The 19,049-nt window shown below is 38.4% G+C and overlaps 2 annotated features.

Annotated features, from left to right (window-relative positions):
- Positions 3,471-3,671: a silencer, noted in NCBI's record as "peak7173 fragment used in MPRA reporter construct". NCBI's record gives its function as "represses an SCP1 promoter by STARR-seq MPRAs in K562 erythroleukemia cells {active_cell/tissue: K562}" and the evidence as "EXISTENCE:reporter gene assay evidence [ECO:0000049][PMID:32103011]".
- Positions 4,075-5,274: an enhancer, noted in NCBI's record as "BRD4-independent group 4 enhancer chr8:130343219-130344418 (GRCh37/hg19 assembly coordinates)". NCBI's record gives its function as "activates an origin of replication core promoter dependent on BRD2, P300/CBP, MED14 and CDK7 cofactors, and independent of BRD4, by STARR-seq in HCT116 cells {active_cell/tissue: HCT116}" and the evidence as "EXISTENCE:reporter gene assay evidence [ECO:0000049][PMID:35650434]".

The following is a 19,049-nucleotide window of genomic DNA, read 5'->3' on the forward strand; positions in this document are numbered from 1 at the left end:
AATAAAGAAAAAAAGAGAGAAGAATCAAATAGACGCAATAAAAAATGATAAAGGGGATATCACCACTGATCCTACAGAAATACAAACTACCATCAGAGAATACTACAAACACCTCTATGCAAATAAACTAGAAAATCTAGAAGAAATGGATAAATTCCTCAACACATACACTCTCCCAAGACTAAACCAGGAAGAAGTTGAATCTCTGAATAGACCAATAACAGGATCTGAAATTGTGGCAGTAATCAATAGCTTACCAACCAAAAAGAGTCCAGGACCAGATGGATTCACAGCCGAATTCCACCAGAGGTACAAGGTGGAACTGGTACCATTCCTTCTGAAACTATTCCAATCAATAGAAAAAGAGGGAATCCTCCCTAACTCATTTTATGAGGCCAGCATCATCCTGATACCAAAGCCGGGCAGAGACACAATCAAAAAAGAGAATTTTAGACCAATATCCTTGACGAACATTGATGCAAAAATCCTCAATAAAATACTGGCAAACCGAATCCAGCAGCACATCAAAAAGCTTATCCACTGTGATCAAGTGGGCTTCATCCCTGGGATGCAAGACTGGTTCAATATACGCAAATCAATAAATGTAATCCAGCATATAAACAGAACCAAAGTCAAAAACCACATGATTATCTCAATAGATGCAGAAAAAGCCTTTGACAAAATTCAACAACGCTTCATGCTAAAAACTCTCAATAAATTAGGTATTGATGGGACGTATTTCAAAATAATAAGAGCTATCTATGACAAACCCACAGCCAATATCATACTGAATGGGCAAAAACTGGAAGCATTCCCTTTGAAAACTGGCACAAGACAGGGATGCCCTCTCTCACCACTCCTATTCAACATAGTGTTGGAAGTTCTGGTCAGGGCAATTAGGCAGGAGAAGGAAATAAAGGGTATTCAATTAGGAAAAGAGGAAGTCAAACTGTCCCTGTTTGCAGACGACATGATTGTATATCTAGAAAACCCCACTGTCTCAGCCCAAAATCTCCTTAAGCTGATAAGCAACTTCAGCAAAGTCTCAGGATACAAAATCAATGTACAAAAATCACAAGCATTCTTATACACCAACAACAGACAAACAGAGAGCCAAATCATGAGTGAACTCCCATTCACAATTGCTTGAAAGAGAATAAAATACCTAGGAATCCAACTTACAAGGGATGTGAAGGACCTCTTCAAGGAGAACTACAAACCACTGCTCAAGGAAATAAAAGAGGATACAAACAAATGGAAGAACATTCCATGCTCATGGGTAGGAAGACTCAATATCGTGAAAATGGCCATACTGCCCAAGGTAATTTACAGATTCAATGCCATCCCCATCAAGCTACCAATGACTTTCTTCACAGAATTGGAAAAAACTACTGTAAAGTTCATATGGAACCAAAAAAGAGCCTGCATCACCAAGTCAATCCTAAGCCAAAAGAACAAAGCTGGAGGCATCACACTACCTGACTTCAAACTATACTACAAGTCTACAGTAACCAAAACAGCATGGTACTGGTACCAAAACAGAGATATAGATCAATGGAACAGAACAGAGCCCTCAGAAATAATGCCACATATCTACAACTATCTGATCTTTGACAAACCTGAGAAAAACAAGCAATGGGGAAAGGATTCCCTATTTAATAAATGGTGCTGGGAAAACTGGCTAGCCATATGTAGAAAGCTGAAACTGGATCCCTTCCTTACACCTTATACAAAAATCAATTCAAGATGGATTAAAGACTTAAACGTTAGACCTAAAACCATAAAAACTCTAGAAGAAAACCTAGGCATTACCATTCAGGACATAGGCGTGGACAAGGACTTCATGACTAAAACACCAAAAGCAATGGCAACAAAACCCAAAATTGACAAATGGGATCTAATTAAACTAAAGAGCTTCTGCACAGCAAAAGAAACTACCATCAGAGTGAACAGGCAACCTACAAAATGGGAGACAATTTTCGCAATCTACTTATCTGACAAAGGACTAATATCCAGAATCTATAATGAACTCAAACAAATTTACAAGAAAAAAACAAACAACCCCATCAAAAAGTGGGTGAAGGACATGAACAGACACTTCTCAAAAGAAGACATTTATGCAGCCAAAAAACACATGAAAAAATGCTCATCATCACTGGCCATCAGAGAAATGCAAATCAAAACCACAATGAGATACCATCTCACACCAGTTAGAATGGTGATCATTAAAAAGTCAGGAAACAACAGGTGCTGGAGAGGATGTGGAGAAATAGGAACACTTTTACACTGTTGGTGGGACTGTAAACTAGTTCAACCATTGTGGAAGTCAGTGTGGCGATTCCTCAGGGATCTAGAACTAGAAATACCATTTGACCCAGCCATCCCATTACTGGGTATATACCCAAAGGACTATAAATCATGCTGCTATAAAGACACATGCACACGTATGTTTATTGCAGCATTATTCACAATAGCAAAGACTTGGAACCAACCCAAATGTCCAACAATGATAGACTGGATTAAGAAAATGTGGCACATATACACCATGGAATACTATGCAGCCATAAAAAATGATGAGTTCATATCCTTTGTAGGGACATGGATGAAATTGGAAATCATCATTCTCAGTAAACTGTTGCAAGAACAAAAAACCAAACACATATTCTCACTCATAGGTGGGAATTGAACAATGAGAACACATGGACACAGGAAGGGGAACATCACACTCTGGGTACTGTTGTGGGGTGGGGGGAGGGGGGAGGGATAGCACTGGCAGACATACCTAATGCTAGATGATGAGTTAGTGGGTGCAGCGCACCAGCATGGTACATGTATACGTATGTAACTAACATGCACATTGTGCACATGTACCCTAAAACTTAAAGTATAATAATAATAAATAAATAAATAAATAAATAAATAAATAAATAAAAAGAAAAAAATGTAAAAATCATTCTTAGCTTGCAGGATGCAGAACATAAAAACAAACAGGTAGAAAGCCAGATTTGGCCCATGAGCTGTCATTTACCAAACTCTTGTCTATCTAAATATGTGGTATTATAAAACACATATTTTGGCTCTCAGTATATACATTTATAAATTGGGAGTCATATTTTTGAAGGTGATAGGCAGTCATAATGAGCTCTGCTACTCACAGGCTCCAAACACATGTTCTGTACCTGAGTAACACCTCCCACCAAGTGGAATTGTCTTTGATTGTGCTCTCCCAGAAGCTGACCCTGAGGCAAAGACTTGAGTGGAAGTATTTTGTTCGAGAGATGATACCAGCAAACACTTGTAGGAAAGTGGGAACATAATTAAAGAAGGAAGGCAGCTTTTACAGAGTACGTTATTATGCTTATTAGGACTGTGGGAACATATAACTTAATCCCTGATACTGTATAGAACTCTGATAGTCAGTATAGAACTGACTCCTCAGAGTCCTTTCACTCTGGGGGATGGAGCTGGAGTATTTACCCACCAACTCCCATCAGTCATTGGTTAGGAAGTTCCCTATATCATTTCTCTAACACTTCCAGCTTGCCTGATATGTAATTAAGCAAAAGAAGCTTCAACTGACAAAAAACAAATTCCAGGCAGTTGGAGATTAAGACATTCAGAAATCAAGAGCTTCAGCTGAATGGATTAATGATATCTACATAGGAGCAAGATAAAAAGGATGGGATGAAATGATTCATGTGAACTAGCTTGATCTTCAATAAAACATCTCATTTGCTGCCTATTCACCCTATTCTATATTTGGTTTGATGCCAAAAAGCATTTTCCTGGGACTTGCACAGAATATCACTATTATAAACTGCCTTCTCAGCAGGATGATGGGCTCTGTCATTGGCTTGCTGGCTTGCTGGGTGATCTTGTTTTTTGTTCCAAGTATGTATTAGTCTGGTTACTCCAGAGAAACAGAGCCAATAGGAGATACGTAGATAGATAGATAGATAGATAGATGATAGATAGATAGATAGATAGATAGATAGATAGATAGATAGATAGATAAAAGGGGGATTATTGTGGGAACTGGATCACATATGGAATCACATACGAAAATTGGACCACATGCTGAGAAGTCCCACCATATGCGCTCCAGCAAGCTGGTGAACCAGAGACGCTGGTTGTGTAATTAAGTCTGAATCAAAAGGCCTGAGAACCAGCAGAGCCAATGGTGTAAGTCTCAGTTCAAGGCCAAAGGCCCAAGAACATGGGGGGCGGGGAGGAAGGGGGGCGGGGCTGCAGGGCCGGTGTAAGTTTCCATATCTGCGGCCAAAAACCTGGAGTCCTGATGTCCAAGGTAGGAAAACTGAAAGTCTCAGCTCCAGAGAAAAAAGTGACTTCATCTTTCCACTGCCTTTTAATTCTATCCAGGCCTTCGATGAATTGGACGATGTCCACCCACATGGTGAGGGCAGATCTTTCTTACTCCACCCACCGATGCAGATGTCAATCTCTTCTGGAAGCACTTTCAAGGGCATACCCAGAGCTAAAGCTTGACCAGCATTAGTTGGTAAATGTGAGTACCCCTTAACCCAGTCAAGCTGACATGTAAAATTAACCATCACAAAGTTTTTGTTTTTTCTTCTTACATTTTTCAGCTTGGATAATGGCATCTGAGAAGTCACATGGCTTTTTCAAAATGCAATGTGATATCAAAAACGTGTGTATAGCGGGGCCAGTCGGTGGGTGGGGGGCTAGCGGAGGGATAGCATTAGGAGAAATACCTAATGTAGATGACAGGTTGATGGGTGCAGCAACCCACCATGGCACGTGTATACCTACGTAACAAAACTGAACGTTCTGCACATGTGCCCCAGAACTTAAAGTATAATAAGTGTGTATGGATCTGGCACATTGTAGTCACTCAAAAAACACTCTTCTGCTTTTTTCTTCCTCACTCACTTATCCTAGTGCACTTCTACTATTTTCTTTTCCAGATGTGATTAGGAACTCTTTATGAACCAGAAAAGAGAAATCTTGCACTGATTGGAATATGGCAGCCACTCACCATCTCCCCTGTCTGCTCTCACTCAGTTTATGTGACCCAATGGGAATGGAGAATCTCAGGCATAAAACCAACTGCTTCGTGGGTTACTCTGGAAAATTCTAAACTGAAGCTTTTTGAGAAAGGCGACATTACCTCAGAACTTCCACATGTAGCTACTGTGGAGTTTCTGTTTATGTGAATGGATATTTTCACCAGATATTGGAAACATGCTGAAGCTGGATTCCAGTGCAATAAAGGCAACTCATTTAGCCATTGGCCTGTGATACTATGAGAAATACAGTTAAATTAGACGAATGCTCCACCAGGAATTGTGGCCAAAATAAATGATCATTTTTTAAAAAAGAAAAAGATAAAGACACAACAGATTGTCATTTTTTTCTTCTTGTCGATGTCCTTGAAAAACAGACTTGAAGTCTCAAATGAACACCTTAAATTCCAAATAACCATTGAGGCATTGGGGAAGACTTGTCTCCTTGTTGATTCTATGGATGGATAGATGGATGATGAGTACTACAAATATTTTTATCTCCTATGTATAAATTAAAGGAATAGTAACTGAGAAGGGCTTCAGAAAGCTTATTGGAGGATAGGCATTCAGAGAAAAAACTGAAGGATGAGTAATTACAGGTGAAGTTGGAGGAGAGGCTATTTTTGATTGAAAGAAAAGTAAAGAGAAAGGCATAGACAGAACTAAAGGAAATGCAATTTTACCTCTCATACGAAGAGCAATGATTGTCCCCTCACTTTCATATTTCAATAGAAGAAAAATCTTTTTCCAAATAAAAATCAGAAAACTAAAAAAATTATTGAAATATTTCTAATAAATAACATTTTCCTATTTATTACTTTATTGCTATATTTTCTTATAAAATATATTTAAATTAGATACACATAAATAATATATAATCTATCTTTAAATTAGCAAAATTTTATACAATACAAATCACAATTTTTATATTATATATTCTTACCATTCTTGTTCATTTCTTGTCCATATAAATTCACATTAATATAATTATTATTATAGTGCAGATACTACTTAATATTCCTTTTAACATTATTTGGTAAAAAAAAAGTTTTAGCATTATATTTTTAATTATTATATATAATTATTCATAGCATTCCATTGAATAGATAAACTATTATTTAGTTTAACCATTCTAATGTTTCAATATTTTTGCTATTATACATAATGCTGCAAAGAATATCTTACTAGTGTGGCCATTTTACTGCAATGTTTTTTACCTTAGATTTTATTCTGTGAATAACATTACTAAATGAAAGGAATTTATCTTTCTTATGGTTTTTAATATGTATTGCCAATTGCAATCACAAAACAATCACTAGTTGCACACCAATCAGCGGCATATTAGTGTATTAATTTCACCAAGTCCTGCCTTCATTGGGTGCTACCATGTTTTGGACTTTTTAACTGTTGAATAATTTATCAGGTATATAAATAATCCAAAGAATTTAAACTTTAATGAACTGTTCCTCTACTGCTAATCTAGCCCACATAGGGATTGTGAAGATAGCTCATTTAATAAATACTTCTTGACCACTGTCTTTGTTCTCATTCCATGCAGCAAAAGTAGCAGAGAAAAAGAAGCACAAGAGGAGAGAGGTGATGAGGATTCTGAACACAGAAGGCCTTCTAGGCCCTGTGTATTAGGATTTTGCCTTTAATTATGAGTGCCATGGGGAGCCACTGTAAGGGAAACAATTTCATGTGATCCTTGTCCTTTGGGAGCTTTTAAAATCTTAATGACGAGATTAGAATCAGATGTTGTTCCCCATCTCCCCAAAATCCTGCCTCAACTCCATCCTCATCATTGTGCAGAGATCAGAATACCATGACCAGTCATTGGAAATACTGTTCCTCTCTCAGTAAGAATGGAAGAAGGGAGGGCATGGAGGGCCTCCTGTATCTGGAGCATTGTTAGGTGCTACATATCCAATCTAATTTTGTCCAACAACAGTCCTGTAAGGCAGGTCCCATTTCTACAGAGGAAGAAACTGAGGCTCAAGGTGCTCACTTTGGGAAGACCTTCTGTTTGTCTTCCTTACAAAGAGAGAAAACATTAGATGCCTGAGTGCGCTCAAGGAGCTTTGACAGAATCTGAATCATTTTTACTCTGTCTTTCATGTTTAAATTTCCAACATACCTTTGTCGTTTTCATCCACTGGAAACTGAGGCATCCCATGATTCACAAAATTGGCCCATTGTTTAAACTGTCACCCTTCTTTCCTTAATTCCACTCATGAGCATTTGGACCCAACCAAAGGAGGTTGGTTGGATCCCACAACAGCAAGTCCACTGAACCGGGAATATGCAATGGAAATTGAAATCTATAATGTGTTCTATGATTTTGAACATGTCTACTCTCTCCCTGCATCTCAATCCCTCAAATGTGCAGTGGGGGGATGGAGAGATAAGGCAGAGGATCTCTGGGGATCATTCTTGCTTTAATGATCTATGACAAAATTTTCCCAGTGTACTGCACAGCCAGAAAGAGCCAAGGCTGAGAGCTATTTCTCCCCAGAAATGTGATTCCACAGTCTTGGTTTCCTGGAACAACTGAAGAGTGTGGTAATAGAATCCATGAAGAGAAACTTTATGTGGCTAATATTCCAAAGCTTTCTAAGTGCAGTAATAAACAGAGCACATCTTGGTGACACAGAAATTATGAGGCAGAGACCATAATAATAATTCATGTCTGCTTCTATTCACTATTGACAAGATGTGCTTCCACTCCCAAGACACCAGAGCAGCAGAAAAATAAGTAATTCCCTGAGTTGCCACCACACTATTTTGCTTTATGCTAGTTTTTCTTCCTTTCTTTTCTGTCACCCACAAAAGTGAAACCCAGTCATCTACAGAAGCTGCCTTTTGTCTAGGAGTAAGTGGTGGTTATTATCTGCATCATATGAAGCTAGGCATCATGGTTTCCATGCTGGAAAGCAAAGCTCCCCTATGTTAGGCATCTTTGGTTTACAATAACATACACTCAATAACTGAGAAGAAATTTTGAATAGATCACACTTGCAAAATATTTCCCAGACTGAAAATTTCACGGAGACTGGTGATCACGTAGGCCAAGTGTACTTTATTTCCCCCGTCTCTCCATTCCTCAGCCCCTGAAATAATTCCTAGGAGATTTTTAGCTAACTCCGGCTGAGTCCACCAACAGATGTGAAACTTATTACCTTACTGTTTTGTGGCCCTTCCTATTCTATTTTCTTGCAACAGCTCCAATTATTAAAGTGAAATACGACATCTTAGCCCTTTTGGAGCAAGGCAGGAAGCATTTATTCTTTGATTGTGTAACTGTTCTTCAAGAATGTGTAATGAGCCTCACACCTCTTCTAAGTCTTCTTTTTTCCATGTTAAACATTCACAATTTCTTCCCCATTCCTGGTTGGTATAGGTCTCAGATCTTGCTCTCATATTGTTTAGGCTTCCAAAGTGGTGCCACTTGACCAACACAAACTTGGAAATAAGACATCCTAAGCTTGAAACAACACATCCAATGTGGTCTATCTTAGAGAAAATGATTGAAATTGTCACCTGCCTTAATCGGTACATTTCAACTCTATTACAATAATTTTGCCTAAGAATGTTTTGATTTTTCCAGCAACTGTGGCACACACTTGGTTTATGTTTAGTCCTGTGATCAACATATGAGCTTTGCTCTTCCTCCAAGGCACAAGCAGGAATGTAGTGAGTAGCAAAGTGCTCTTGGTCACTCAAATGTATTGACAAAACAGGACCTCTTTATGAAATTATAAAGTCATCCCAGATTGTATTTTGGACATTTCTTTTATTTCTCATGTTCTCATACTTTCTGTAGTCTCCTCTGCCCCCAACATACATGCCTGACTTCTACTCAAAAGTAGTTCTACTCTGCTGTAGTAGTTCAGAGCCTGGCTTGTAAAGGCAGCCTGCTCAGGGTCATATTCCAGCTCTGACATTTGCCTGCCCTGTAGGTTTCAGAAACTCAATGTCTTTTGCTTGTTTAAGATTTTTTACGTTATGTATAAAGTAATAATACTATCTCCCTCATTATGTTGTTATGAGAATTTAATGATTTCATATATCTTAGGCACTTAGGACAGTGCCTGGCACATACTGAGTGCTAGCTGATACAATAAGCCTAGCATGGTATTTGGGACAATCAGGTCTGAGGCTCGGGGTACCAGGGATATAGTCATTACCCAGGTCCAGTAATATATGTCACTTCTTTTTTTTCAGACCTTCAATTTCTTTAGCTATAAAATAGGGAAATCAAACAGTAAGAAATAACAACAATTCTTTCCAGCTCTGTCATTTTTAAAACTGTAATTGTCTGCAAGTCTTTGATCTTCCAGCTCCTGACATGGGTGGAGCAAGCATCCCCAGCTTGGATAATAGGGGGAACAAGCTGATGATATGACTCTTTTTGTAGACATTGCTACTAGTGTTCAAACAAATAAAGATGTAAAGGCAAAATGTTTCATAATTCTGGCAGGCAAATTTGGAAAGACTTCTGAGGTCAGCGCCGCCTTATCAGAGCCCCTTACATCACACTACATAGAGAGGCTGCCCACTCCCCAAATTGCTACAATTGGTAATGTGGTAGAAGTATTAAGAAAAGCCTGGGCAGTCAGAGATGAGAGATCATGTCATTTTGAGGGCTGATATAAAGAAAGGAATCCATTTTTCATGGAAATGCTTGGCTTTGCATGAGCCTTTGAAAACCCACACAGTAAATGCAGTGGAAAAGGCAATGCACCACAGCATAAGGCCAGAGGTCTGGGGATACCTCAACTACAAAACCAACACAGCACTTAATTGTAGCCATATGTCTGAATCAGCCAGAAATGCAACTTCTTCATCAGTCCAATGGGATACTAATGCTCTCGCTTGACTTTCTCACAGAACTGCAAGAGATCATGAACGTAAAGGCATTTTGAAAGTTCATTTCAACTGCAATATGGTAGTGACAGTAAGGTTCCTGACCTTCCAAGGCCAGAATCTGTGTCCTGTAACCTCCACCACAATTTAGTTCCTGAAACTACACACAAAAACACAGCCACTCTAGAAGATGAAAGTGCAAAATTACTTTCTTCCCCTACTCAATGCCATTAAATGGCTTCCTTGACATCTACAGCTCTTTGCAGTAATGTTCACTATGACTAAATGTGTGGCTAATAATACCTTTTATGATCTGACCATTTTATCGCCTTAGCCTCATTTTTCTCATGCTTTGCTTTTAAGATTTCATGTCTTTGCTATTGTGAATAGTGCTGCAACAAACCTGCACATGTACCCTTGAACTTAAAATAAAAGTTAAAAAAAAAATGTTCCTGAAGGAAAAAAAAAAAGTCTAAGATTTTGTAGACTGATCTTCCAGTTTCTTGAACATACACATTTCCTCTCACTTTATGCTGCCACTTCTGCCTGGCTAGCTCCTACTCATCTTCAGGTCTCAGCCTTTTACCTTTTATTTGTTATGTTATTTTATTTTTTTGAGACTGAGTCTTGCTCTTGTCACCCAGGCTGGAGTGCAGTGGCGCAATCTCAGCTCACTGCAACCTCAACCTCCAGAGTTCAAGTGATTCTCCTGCCTCAGCCTCCCAAATAGCTAGAATTACAAGTGCCTGCCACCACGCCTGGCAAATTTTTTTTTTTTTTTTTTTTTTTTTTTGTATTTTTAGTAGAGACGGGGTTTCACCATGTTGGCCAGGCTGGTCTCAAACTCTTGAACTCAGGTGATCCACCTGCCTCAGCCTCCCAAAGTGCTGGTATTATGGGCATGAGCCACTGTGCCCAGCCCCTTTTACCTTTTAAGTATCCCCTCCTCTCCATCCAATTAGGTAGATTATCTGGGCTACGTGTTCCCAACGCACCTTGTACTTCCCACCATGGTTTTCAGCCTGGTCTAATGGAATTACTTGCTTAATTTGTTGTTCTCCACCCGGAAATATGAGAAGCTTTGTGAGAACAGAGACCGGCATATCTCTTTAATTTTTAGGATCCTCAGTGCTTAGCAGAATAGCTTACAAATATTGGCCTTCAATAAATATGAATAACTCACCTATTAGAGATAGATGGTATCTTTTACTGACATTCTAGAAAGCTTTTCTCCTTTTACCCCAAATCCTTCTCTTTTTCCTTTTTGCTTCTTTACACATTCTCCTAGTTCTCCCTATTTCCAGTGTCCATCAAGGGCTTGAAGAACCTTTGAATTTTATCTCTCCTTGTAATAGTTAACTCAAATATCACTTCCTCTAGAAAGATTGTCTGACCTGATTCTCAGGCAACAAGGCATCTCCTTCACTTTGCAATGTGTTTATATGACTACCATAGAAATTACTATGTCAGTTTCTTTACTTGTTTACATGGCTGTCTCTATCAGTAAACTCTAAGACCTATGAGCAGGAATCTGTTCTGTTCATCTTTGTTTTCCTTTACCCAGAAATGTCTGAAAATGGTAGCAATATTAATAGATATTAAATAAATGTTAATCAACCATTTCTTTTTCCAGATGAAAGCACCAAGTATCTACACAAGGGGAGAGACCTCACTGAACCAGGAAAAGAATTAAGAGTACCTTACTATCATTGCTTCATTCATTCAACAAACATATATTGAGTTTGTTCATTCTGGGTGATAGACTCTCAATGGAAAAAAAAAGTCATCTGTAATAATTTTTAAATAGATAGCCTATATTTACCTCTAATGATATTTTCATTTATTTGTCTTCCTAAACTTAACTATCACTGTTGTTCTAAAAGACCTCATAAGAATAAGCCTTATTTAGTCTTGCCAGAGTAATTTAAATCTCACCAAGCATTGGTGTTCCATAGTAAAGACTTTTTATCTGAAATTATTAAAAACTTTTTATCTGAAATTAGTAAAAACCATTACATTGAAGGTAATTGAAACTACCTCTTAGTGTCATTTTCGTGACTGCACAATGCCATCTGGAAAAATACTACATTTATTGGAATAAACTCTACAGTCATCAAGAAAGAGTCAATTGGAAATTATTTAAAGGACTGAAGGGAAAATGTAGAGACCCCTCCCAAGCCATGAGAATCTCTGTTTCTTCTCTCATTCTAGCTCTGTGAGATGATGGCATTGCTCCCATTCTCCTGAGCTCAGGCTACTTATGAAAGCTTATCACACATTTCTACTCTCACATTCAGTGATTAATTACCCCTAAGACCATAAGTGAATTAGAAAATAATGTAACAATGAATTGAAAAAACCATTATCCTCTTTACAGTGATCAAAGTAGCAATATGAGGGATCAGTTTGCACAGAAATGAATTTTTGATTAGTCACAAATCTTGCGTGAATTGGCCAAACTCAGATTACAGGTTAAATTTCCAAAAAGGAAGAGAATAAGATTTTTGGATACTTTCCTATAATTCTCATAACTAATATAGCTTATAAAGTCGGCTCATCAAAAATTAGAGTATACCTAGGTCACTGTTTTTAGACATAGGAACAAGTGTGGACAACATCATCTAGTCACTGAAATTAAACAGCATCACACCAGTGTTTAAAAGTCTATCTCAGCCATTTACTAACTGTGTGACTTTTGGCAATTTGATTTCTCTGGATTTGGATCCCACATTTATAAAAGATAGAACATAATAACAGCCACCTAACAGAGCTTCCATGAAGACTAAATTATGTAATGGATGTATGGCTGACAAACAGTGTCAACTAACATAGATCCCTGGTCTTCTCTAAAATCATTCTCTTCCCAATTATAGAAGGTCAATATGAGATAATCAAATCTGAAAAATAGGCCTGGATATTTTGAAATTTTTTGTTATATTATGTATGTTAAATGAATACTGGTTTCATCCATTCCTCACCCCAACCCTCCTGTAACTCATTGATTACTTTTCTGACCCTCGATTTCCTTACCTATAAAATGAAGTTAATAATAACAGATACTTCAAGGAATTATGGTTAAGTTTCCACAAAGTAGCCCATGTAAAGGACATAATATGGACTGGCATAGCAAATACTAAATAATATTAACTGTCATGATAATCTAAAACATTATTATTAATGTTTCTGATTTTTATCAATTTTGCCTGCCTTCTAAAATATGAACATGAGTGTCATTGGGGATGTGAAGAAGTGGTTGTTGATAATCTTTAAGATATTCGCAGTGCCAAAATTCAAAGAGCACATGAACACGTTGTCACTTAAATGGTCATTTATGGCTATAGCCTGGGCTAGTGCTTGAGAGCCTGGCTCCCATAATTCACCTTATTAAATATTTTTATATTCCAGTCCTCTATTTGACACTGGGAGTAAGGAAAAGAGGACATAAGGCTCCTGCTCTCAAGAAAATCACATTACAGGAAAATAAACATATTAAAACATAATCAAAATGTTCTCTTCCATTCATATCACTTGGGGAAAAAAATTGATCCCCACTGAGAATGGTAAAAGTGCCCACAATCCTAGGAAAAGACTGATTTTTCTGCAGCCATAGTAACAGGTAACTACCAGAAGTGCTTTTAAACCTCTTCAGTTGATCAACAATTCCTCTTAGTGAACCTGTTTTTACAAGCCAACAAGTCAGTGACCATCTCTTATTGTGGAAAAACACTTTATCAGGAATTGACCCACTCTAAGAAACACACCTCTGAATGTCAGTCCTTCAACAGCAGTTCCACATAACCTCTTTTCTCCAGATCCAGAATACTTACATGCCTAGAAATCCTCCAGCCACTGACCTACACACTTCCCCACCACCCTCTGTAAGATCTGCTGCCCTCCTGCTGGGGACACTGACTTAGCAGCATAGCTCTCCCTGACTGTAAGCAATAAATTCAGCTTTGTCTTTCAATCTAAGATAGTTCATGATGTTCTTATGATCCTTTGACACTAGTACACATTTTGTATCAGATTAATTTCAGATAAATTAAGATTAAAATCTGTGTGTATCTGTATGTATAATCATAAGATAATTAGAACAAAATACATTTATTAAAGACATAGCTTTGCTATAGTAATGGTCTTTTTTTTTCACATGACACCAAAGGCAGAAACTGTAACAGGAAATACTGGTAGAATTTAAACTTCTGCAAGGTTAAATGACACAGCATCGCCATCACTACTAAAAACAACAGCCCTGGTACGACTGCCACCAAAACCAACAATGCCACAAGCAGTAACATCAACACCATCAACAACAATAGCAAAACCAATTAAACTTAGTAGCATAACTACCATTACCATTGTTGTGAACAACATCAAAAGGCAAGTGATGGAAAGAAGGGAAATATTTGCATTGTATAACATAAATATTAATGTTCTGAATGTATAGAGAGCTTTTAAAAATCAGTAAGAAAAGATATAGAGATGGATTCAAAAAAGGTTAACGGATGCCAAAGTAATTACAAAAGGAAGAAATGCAAATAACAAAGAGAAATAGAAAAAAGAATACCAGATAAAAAAGAAAGTTCTTTTTTATCAGCAGTCATGGAAATACATAGTTTAAAATGTTGGCAACGCCTGCTTTTTATCAAAGTTGTTGAGGAAACATGTTTTCATATGTGGCTGGTGGAAAAGTAAATTGGTCCAATCTATTTGGGGGGCCTATTTGGCAATATGAGTTAAAATCTATAAAAATATGTAATTTATATTCTGTAATTACACTTCTAGGAATTTATACCAAGAAAATAATCAGAAAGCAGCAAAAGTATTTTCAGAAATATTCATTGCAATAATATTTTTAAAAATTAAAAAATGGAAAGAACTTAATTATGTAAAAACTAAGGATTGTTTTAATAAAGTATGATACGTCCATTAAGGCAAAAAGTCAGCTACTCTATAGTACCTAAAAAATTATGCAAATATTTATTTATTGATATGGTTAAAACTACACAATATATTAAGTGAAAAATATTAGGTTACAACTTTCTAGATATAATATCTCATTTTTGTAAAACAATTTAAGCATACATACAGTCATTTATTTAACAAAAAACTGTATTTATAATCTACTTTGTGCAAAGCACTATTCTAACCATTGAAGAGAAAGCAATGAACAATGCCAATCTGGTCCCTAATCTCATGGTGCCTATGGCTTGGTGAAATCATCTGAAGAGACAAAGAAGACTGGGCAACTAATACCTCAGGGCAGCAGAGCTATGAGGGTTTAATAGTTTCTCTTTTTTTTTTTTTTTTTTTTTTTTTTTTGAGACAGAGTCTCACTCTGTCACCTAGGCTGGAGTGCACTATTGTGATCAGGGCTTACTGCAGCCTTGAACTCCCAGGCTCAATTGATCCACCTGCCTCAGCCTCCTAAGTAGCTGGGACCACAGGCCACCATGCTTGGTTAATTTTTTTAATTCATTTTTTGTAGAAACAGGGTCTCCCTATGTTGCCCAGGCTGGTCTCTAACTCCCGAGCTCAATCAATTCACCTGCCTCAGCCTCCCGAGTAGCTAGGACTACAGGTGTGCGCCACCACACCCAGCTAATTTTTGTCTTTTTTACAGAGACAAATCTCGCCATGTTGCTCAGGCTGGTCTTGAACTCCTAGGCTCAAGCGATCCTCCCGCCTCAGCCACCCAAAGTGTGGAATTATAGGTGTGAGACACTACACCCAGCGTACCTTTTCTCACTTTTTAAATCAACATAACCTGTAACATTTTAACAATCGTTTTTCTTTTTTTCTTTAACTTGTCTATAGTCAAAATAAAAAGTAAAGCCATTTACCTTTTAGAGAGAAAATAAGAATACCAAGTCATTTAGGCCTGTAATGTTTTAATATTTCTATTGAAACTCCCTAAGGCAACTTAACTAATGGGAGCACTTACACATCAAATTGGATTCCCCCTCCTCTTCTCTCTTGAAGTTCTGTGAGAACAGGGTAAAACCTGTCCAGTTCCAAAGTGTGCTCTCAGCAAAGTAGGGGTGACCATGTTCTCAGGGTTCTGTGGCCTCAGATCCAAGTTCTTTAGGAGCCATTGCTTCTGTCTGCTCAACCCAAGTAAACTACTAAACCTATTTTCTGTGGCTTTTCACAGTACCAAGCTTTCCTATGTAATTCCAAGTGATATGGAGACACAGTAGGAAGGAGGTTTCTATCAATAAAGCACCACTTTTCTCTTGAGGCTCCAAATGCCATTGATGGAAGCGGGTTCAGATCACGTGATTGTGAGTTTCTCAAAATTTGGGATGTTGATTTTTGGAGGCACAAAAACATCAGGACCAGAGGAAGTTATCTTCAATAACCCAGTGAGAATATTACTCCTCGTTCAATGTTCCTTACTCTCGAGAAGGAATAATCAGCGAGGTGCTAAAGCTCTTACCCTTCTATTATCCACTTTTTTTTTTTTTTTTTTTTTTTTGAGACAGAGTCTCACCCTGTCACCCAGGCTAGAGTGCAGTGATATGATCTCAGCTCACTGCAACCTCCGCCTCCCAGGTTCAACCAATTCTCCTGCCTCAGCCTCCCGAGTAGCTGGGATTACAGACACCTGCCACCAAACCCAGCTAATTTTTGTATTTTTAGTAGAGATGGGGTTTCACCATGTTGGCCAGGCTGGTCTCAATCTCCTGACCTCAGATGATCCACCCACCTCCCAAACTGCTGGGATTGCAGGCATAAGACACCATGCCCAGCCTATTACCTGCATTTTTTAACAAACACAAAATGTGCTCACAGCTCAAAGCCTTCCAGTAGGAATCATTTTCTATTTAGAATATAATGACTTTTTCCATATTTTGAATTCATTTATTTATTATGTCATGCGGTGAATAATTCTGGTCTCCCTTTCATAGTGCTTTAGAAAAATATAAGGTTTTTATAAATAATTAGTAATCATTAAGGTAGAAAGGCTAACATGGCAAAACACTTGAAAGTATTAAATATTACTTTAAAAATAGCCGAAATGTGGCAAAATAAATAAAAATAAAATACTGCCCCGACCCTTTGCCTCTGCCAATTTGTCACACCTGTCACAAGGGAACCTGTGACGCTTAAGTTCTTGTAACCATTTTCCCAACTTGTCTTGGTAACTGCAGTCATTCTTGGAATCTCTTTTGGTTCTAGGCCTTTTTTCTTTCTATCTAAGGCAGAGACCAGCTAAATCTATTTTCTGTGGCTTTTCACAGTACCAACTTTTCCTATATAATTCCAAGTGATGATATGGAGAGAAAGTAGGAAGGTGGTTGCCATCTAATATCAAGAGAGTTGAGAATGACCCTCGGGATGGGAGAAGGTGGTAAGATACCTACCTTCACCTAAACAGGTTGCTTCCCAGAGACTTAAATGCTTCTTTTATATGGTACTCATTTAACCCTCACAGCAACACTTTTTTTTTTGAGACAAAATCTCACTTTGTCGCCCAGGCTGGAGTGCAGTGGCACAATCTCGGCTCACTGCAACCCCTGCCTCCAGGGTTCAAGCAATTCTTGTGCCTCAGCCTCCCTAGTAGCTAGGATTACAGGCACCCACCACCACACCCAGCTAATTTTTGTATTTTTAGTATAGATGAGGTTTCACGATGTTGGTCAGGCTGGTCTCAAACTCCTGACCTCAGGTGATCTGCCCACCTTGGCCTCCCAAAGTGCTGGGATTATAGGCGTAAGCCACCGCGCCCAGCCACAGCTACACTTTTAAGTAAGATTATTCCTATTTTACAGAGGAAATTGAGGCTTGCAGAGTATGGCAGAACTATGGTACTCACCCTCCTGTTCCTTCACAGTTACCAACTGGTGATGGCCAATGGGCTGTGAGTGCAAGATTTATCATTCATCTTCAGGCCAAGGTATAGAAAAGCTGGTACCTGATCCTCCAGCTATATCAGGGACATACGACTGGAGTCTGCTTGTTCTGTATACCACCAGAGGAGATAGAGCCTTGATTAGCCTAAATTACCAACTGGCCATGTAGAGAAATCCCTCAGCTGAACCATGTAGATAGACTTGTTTTGTTAAGCAACTGCAATTTGGGAGTTATTCGTTACTTCAGCTGTTGCAGATATGCTTCCCTAGAAACAATGTCTGAGACTGTCCTGATGGGCATAGAGAACATTCATGGAGGAATGCTCTCAATATAAACACATGTAGGGAAAGGGAAAGAGGTGGAACCGAGCAGTGAGAGTAGATGGGCTGTAACGTGCCCACCACAAGGACTCAGCTGACTCTGTGGGAAGCTGTGAAGCTGCCATGGCCCCTTAGAGTTGTTTCAAATTGGGAACAAGAACTGGGCCTTTATACCCGCAAATCAATGAGTCATTGGATGAAGGCTGCTCCCAGGAAGGAGTTGTGATCTTAAGTGAAGTGGCTGTCTTCAGCCAAGGGGAATTCCTGGAAAGTACTGACAGCTGAGACACTCCTAGAAGCTGAAAAAAGTAAGTTCTTCAGTCCTGAAAATGTATCCGTTTCCACTACTGTAATGCAACATAACATAGTCTATTCTGACCATTCAGAGAGGTTAAAAAAGCCCCATCTCCAAATGCAATCACACTGGGGGCTAGGGGTTCAACACATGAATTTGGAGGGGATGTGTAGGACCTCCCACTCTTGACCTCTTCTCCAGACTCTTTACAGACCAAACTCAATCAGATACCAGAGCGAAGAATACTGTTAGTATAACCCATACACGGCAGCATCCTGGGCACACAGCTGGTGAGAAGGGTGAAGAATGGATCTGAAGAAGCCAGAAAGTGTCTACCACAGTAGGTTGAAAGAATAATAAAGGAATAAATGAATAAATATAATAACCGAAGTTGTGAAATGTGATAGAGAGTTGAGAGGATCAGTGTTTCAGCAAAAGCTAAAGCCATCAGGGGATAGATGTTGAAGGATTTTGTATGCCACGGTAAGGGCTTTGGACTTTATCTGAAAAGCATCATAGAAAACACAGGAAAAGAAAACAGAATTAAGGGGGAAATGAAGTTTCATTTTGGACATAATTAAAATTGAGGTACCTGGGCATAGTCAAGTGGAAATTTCCAGTCTGGAACTCAAGAGTCCAGACATAAGAGATGGAGATAGGGTATTT

Source organism: Homo sapiens, chromosome 8 (genome assembly GCF_000001405.40).
Source record: "Homo sapiens chromosome 8, GRCh38.p14 Primary Assembly".
NCBI lineage: Eukaryota > Metazoa > Chordata > Mammalia > Primates > Hominidae > Homo > Homo sapiens.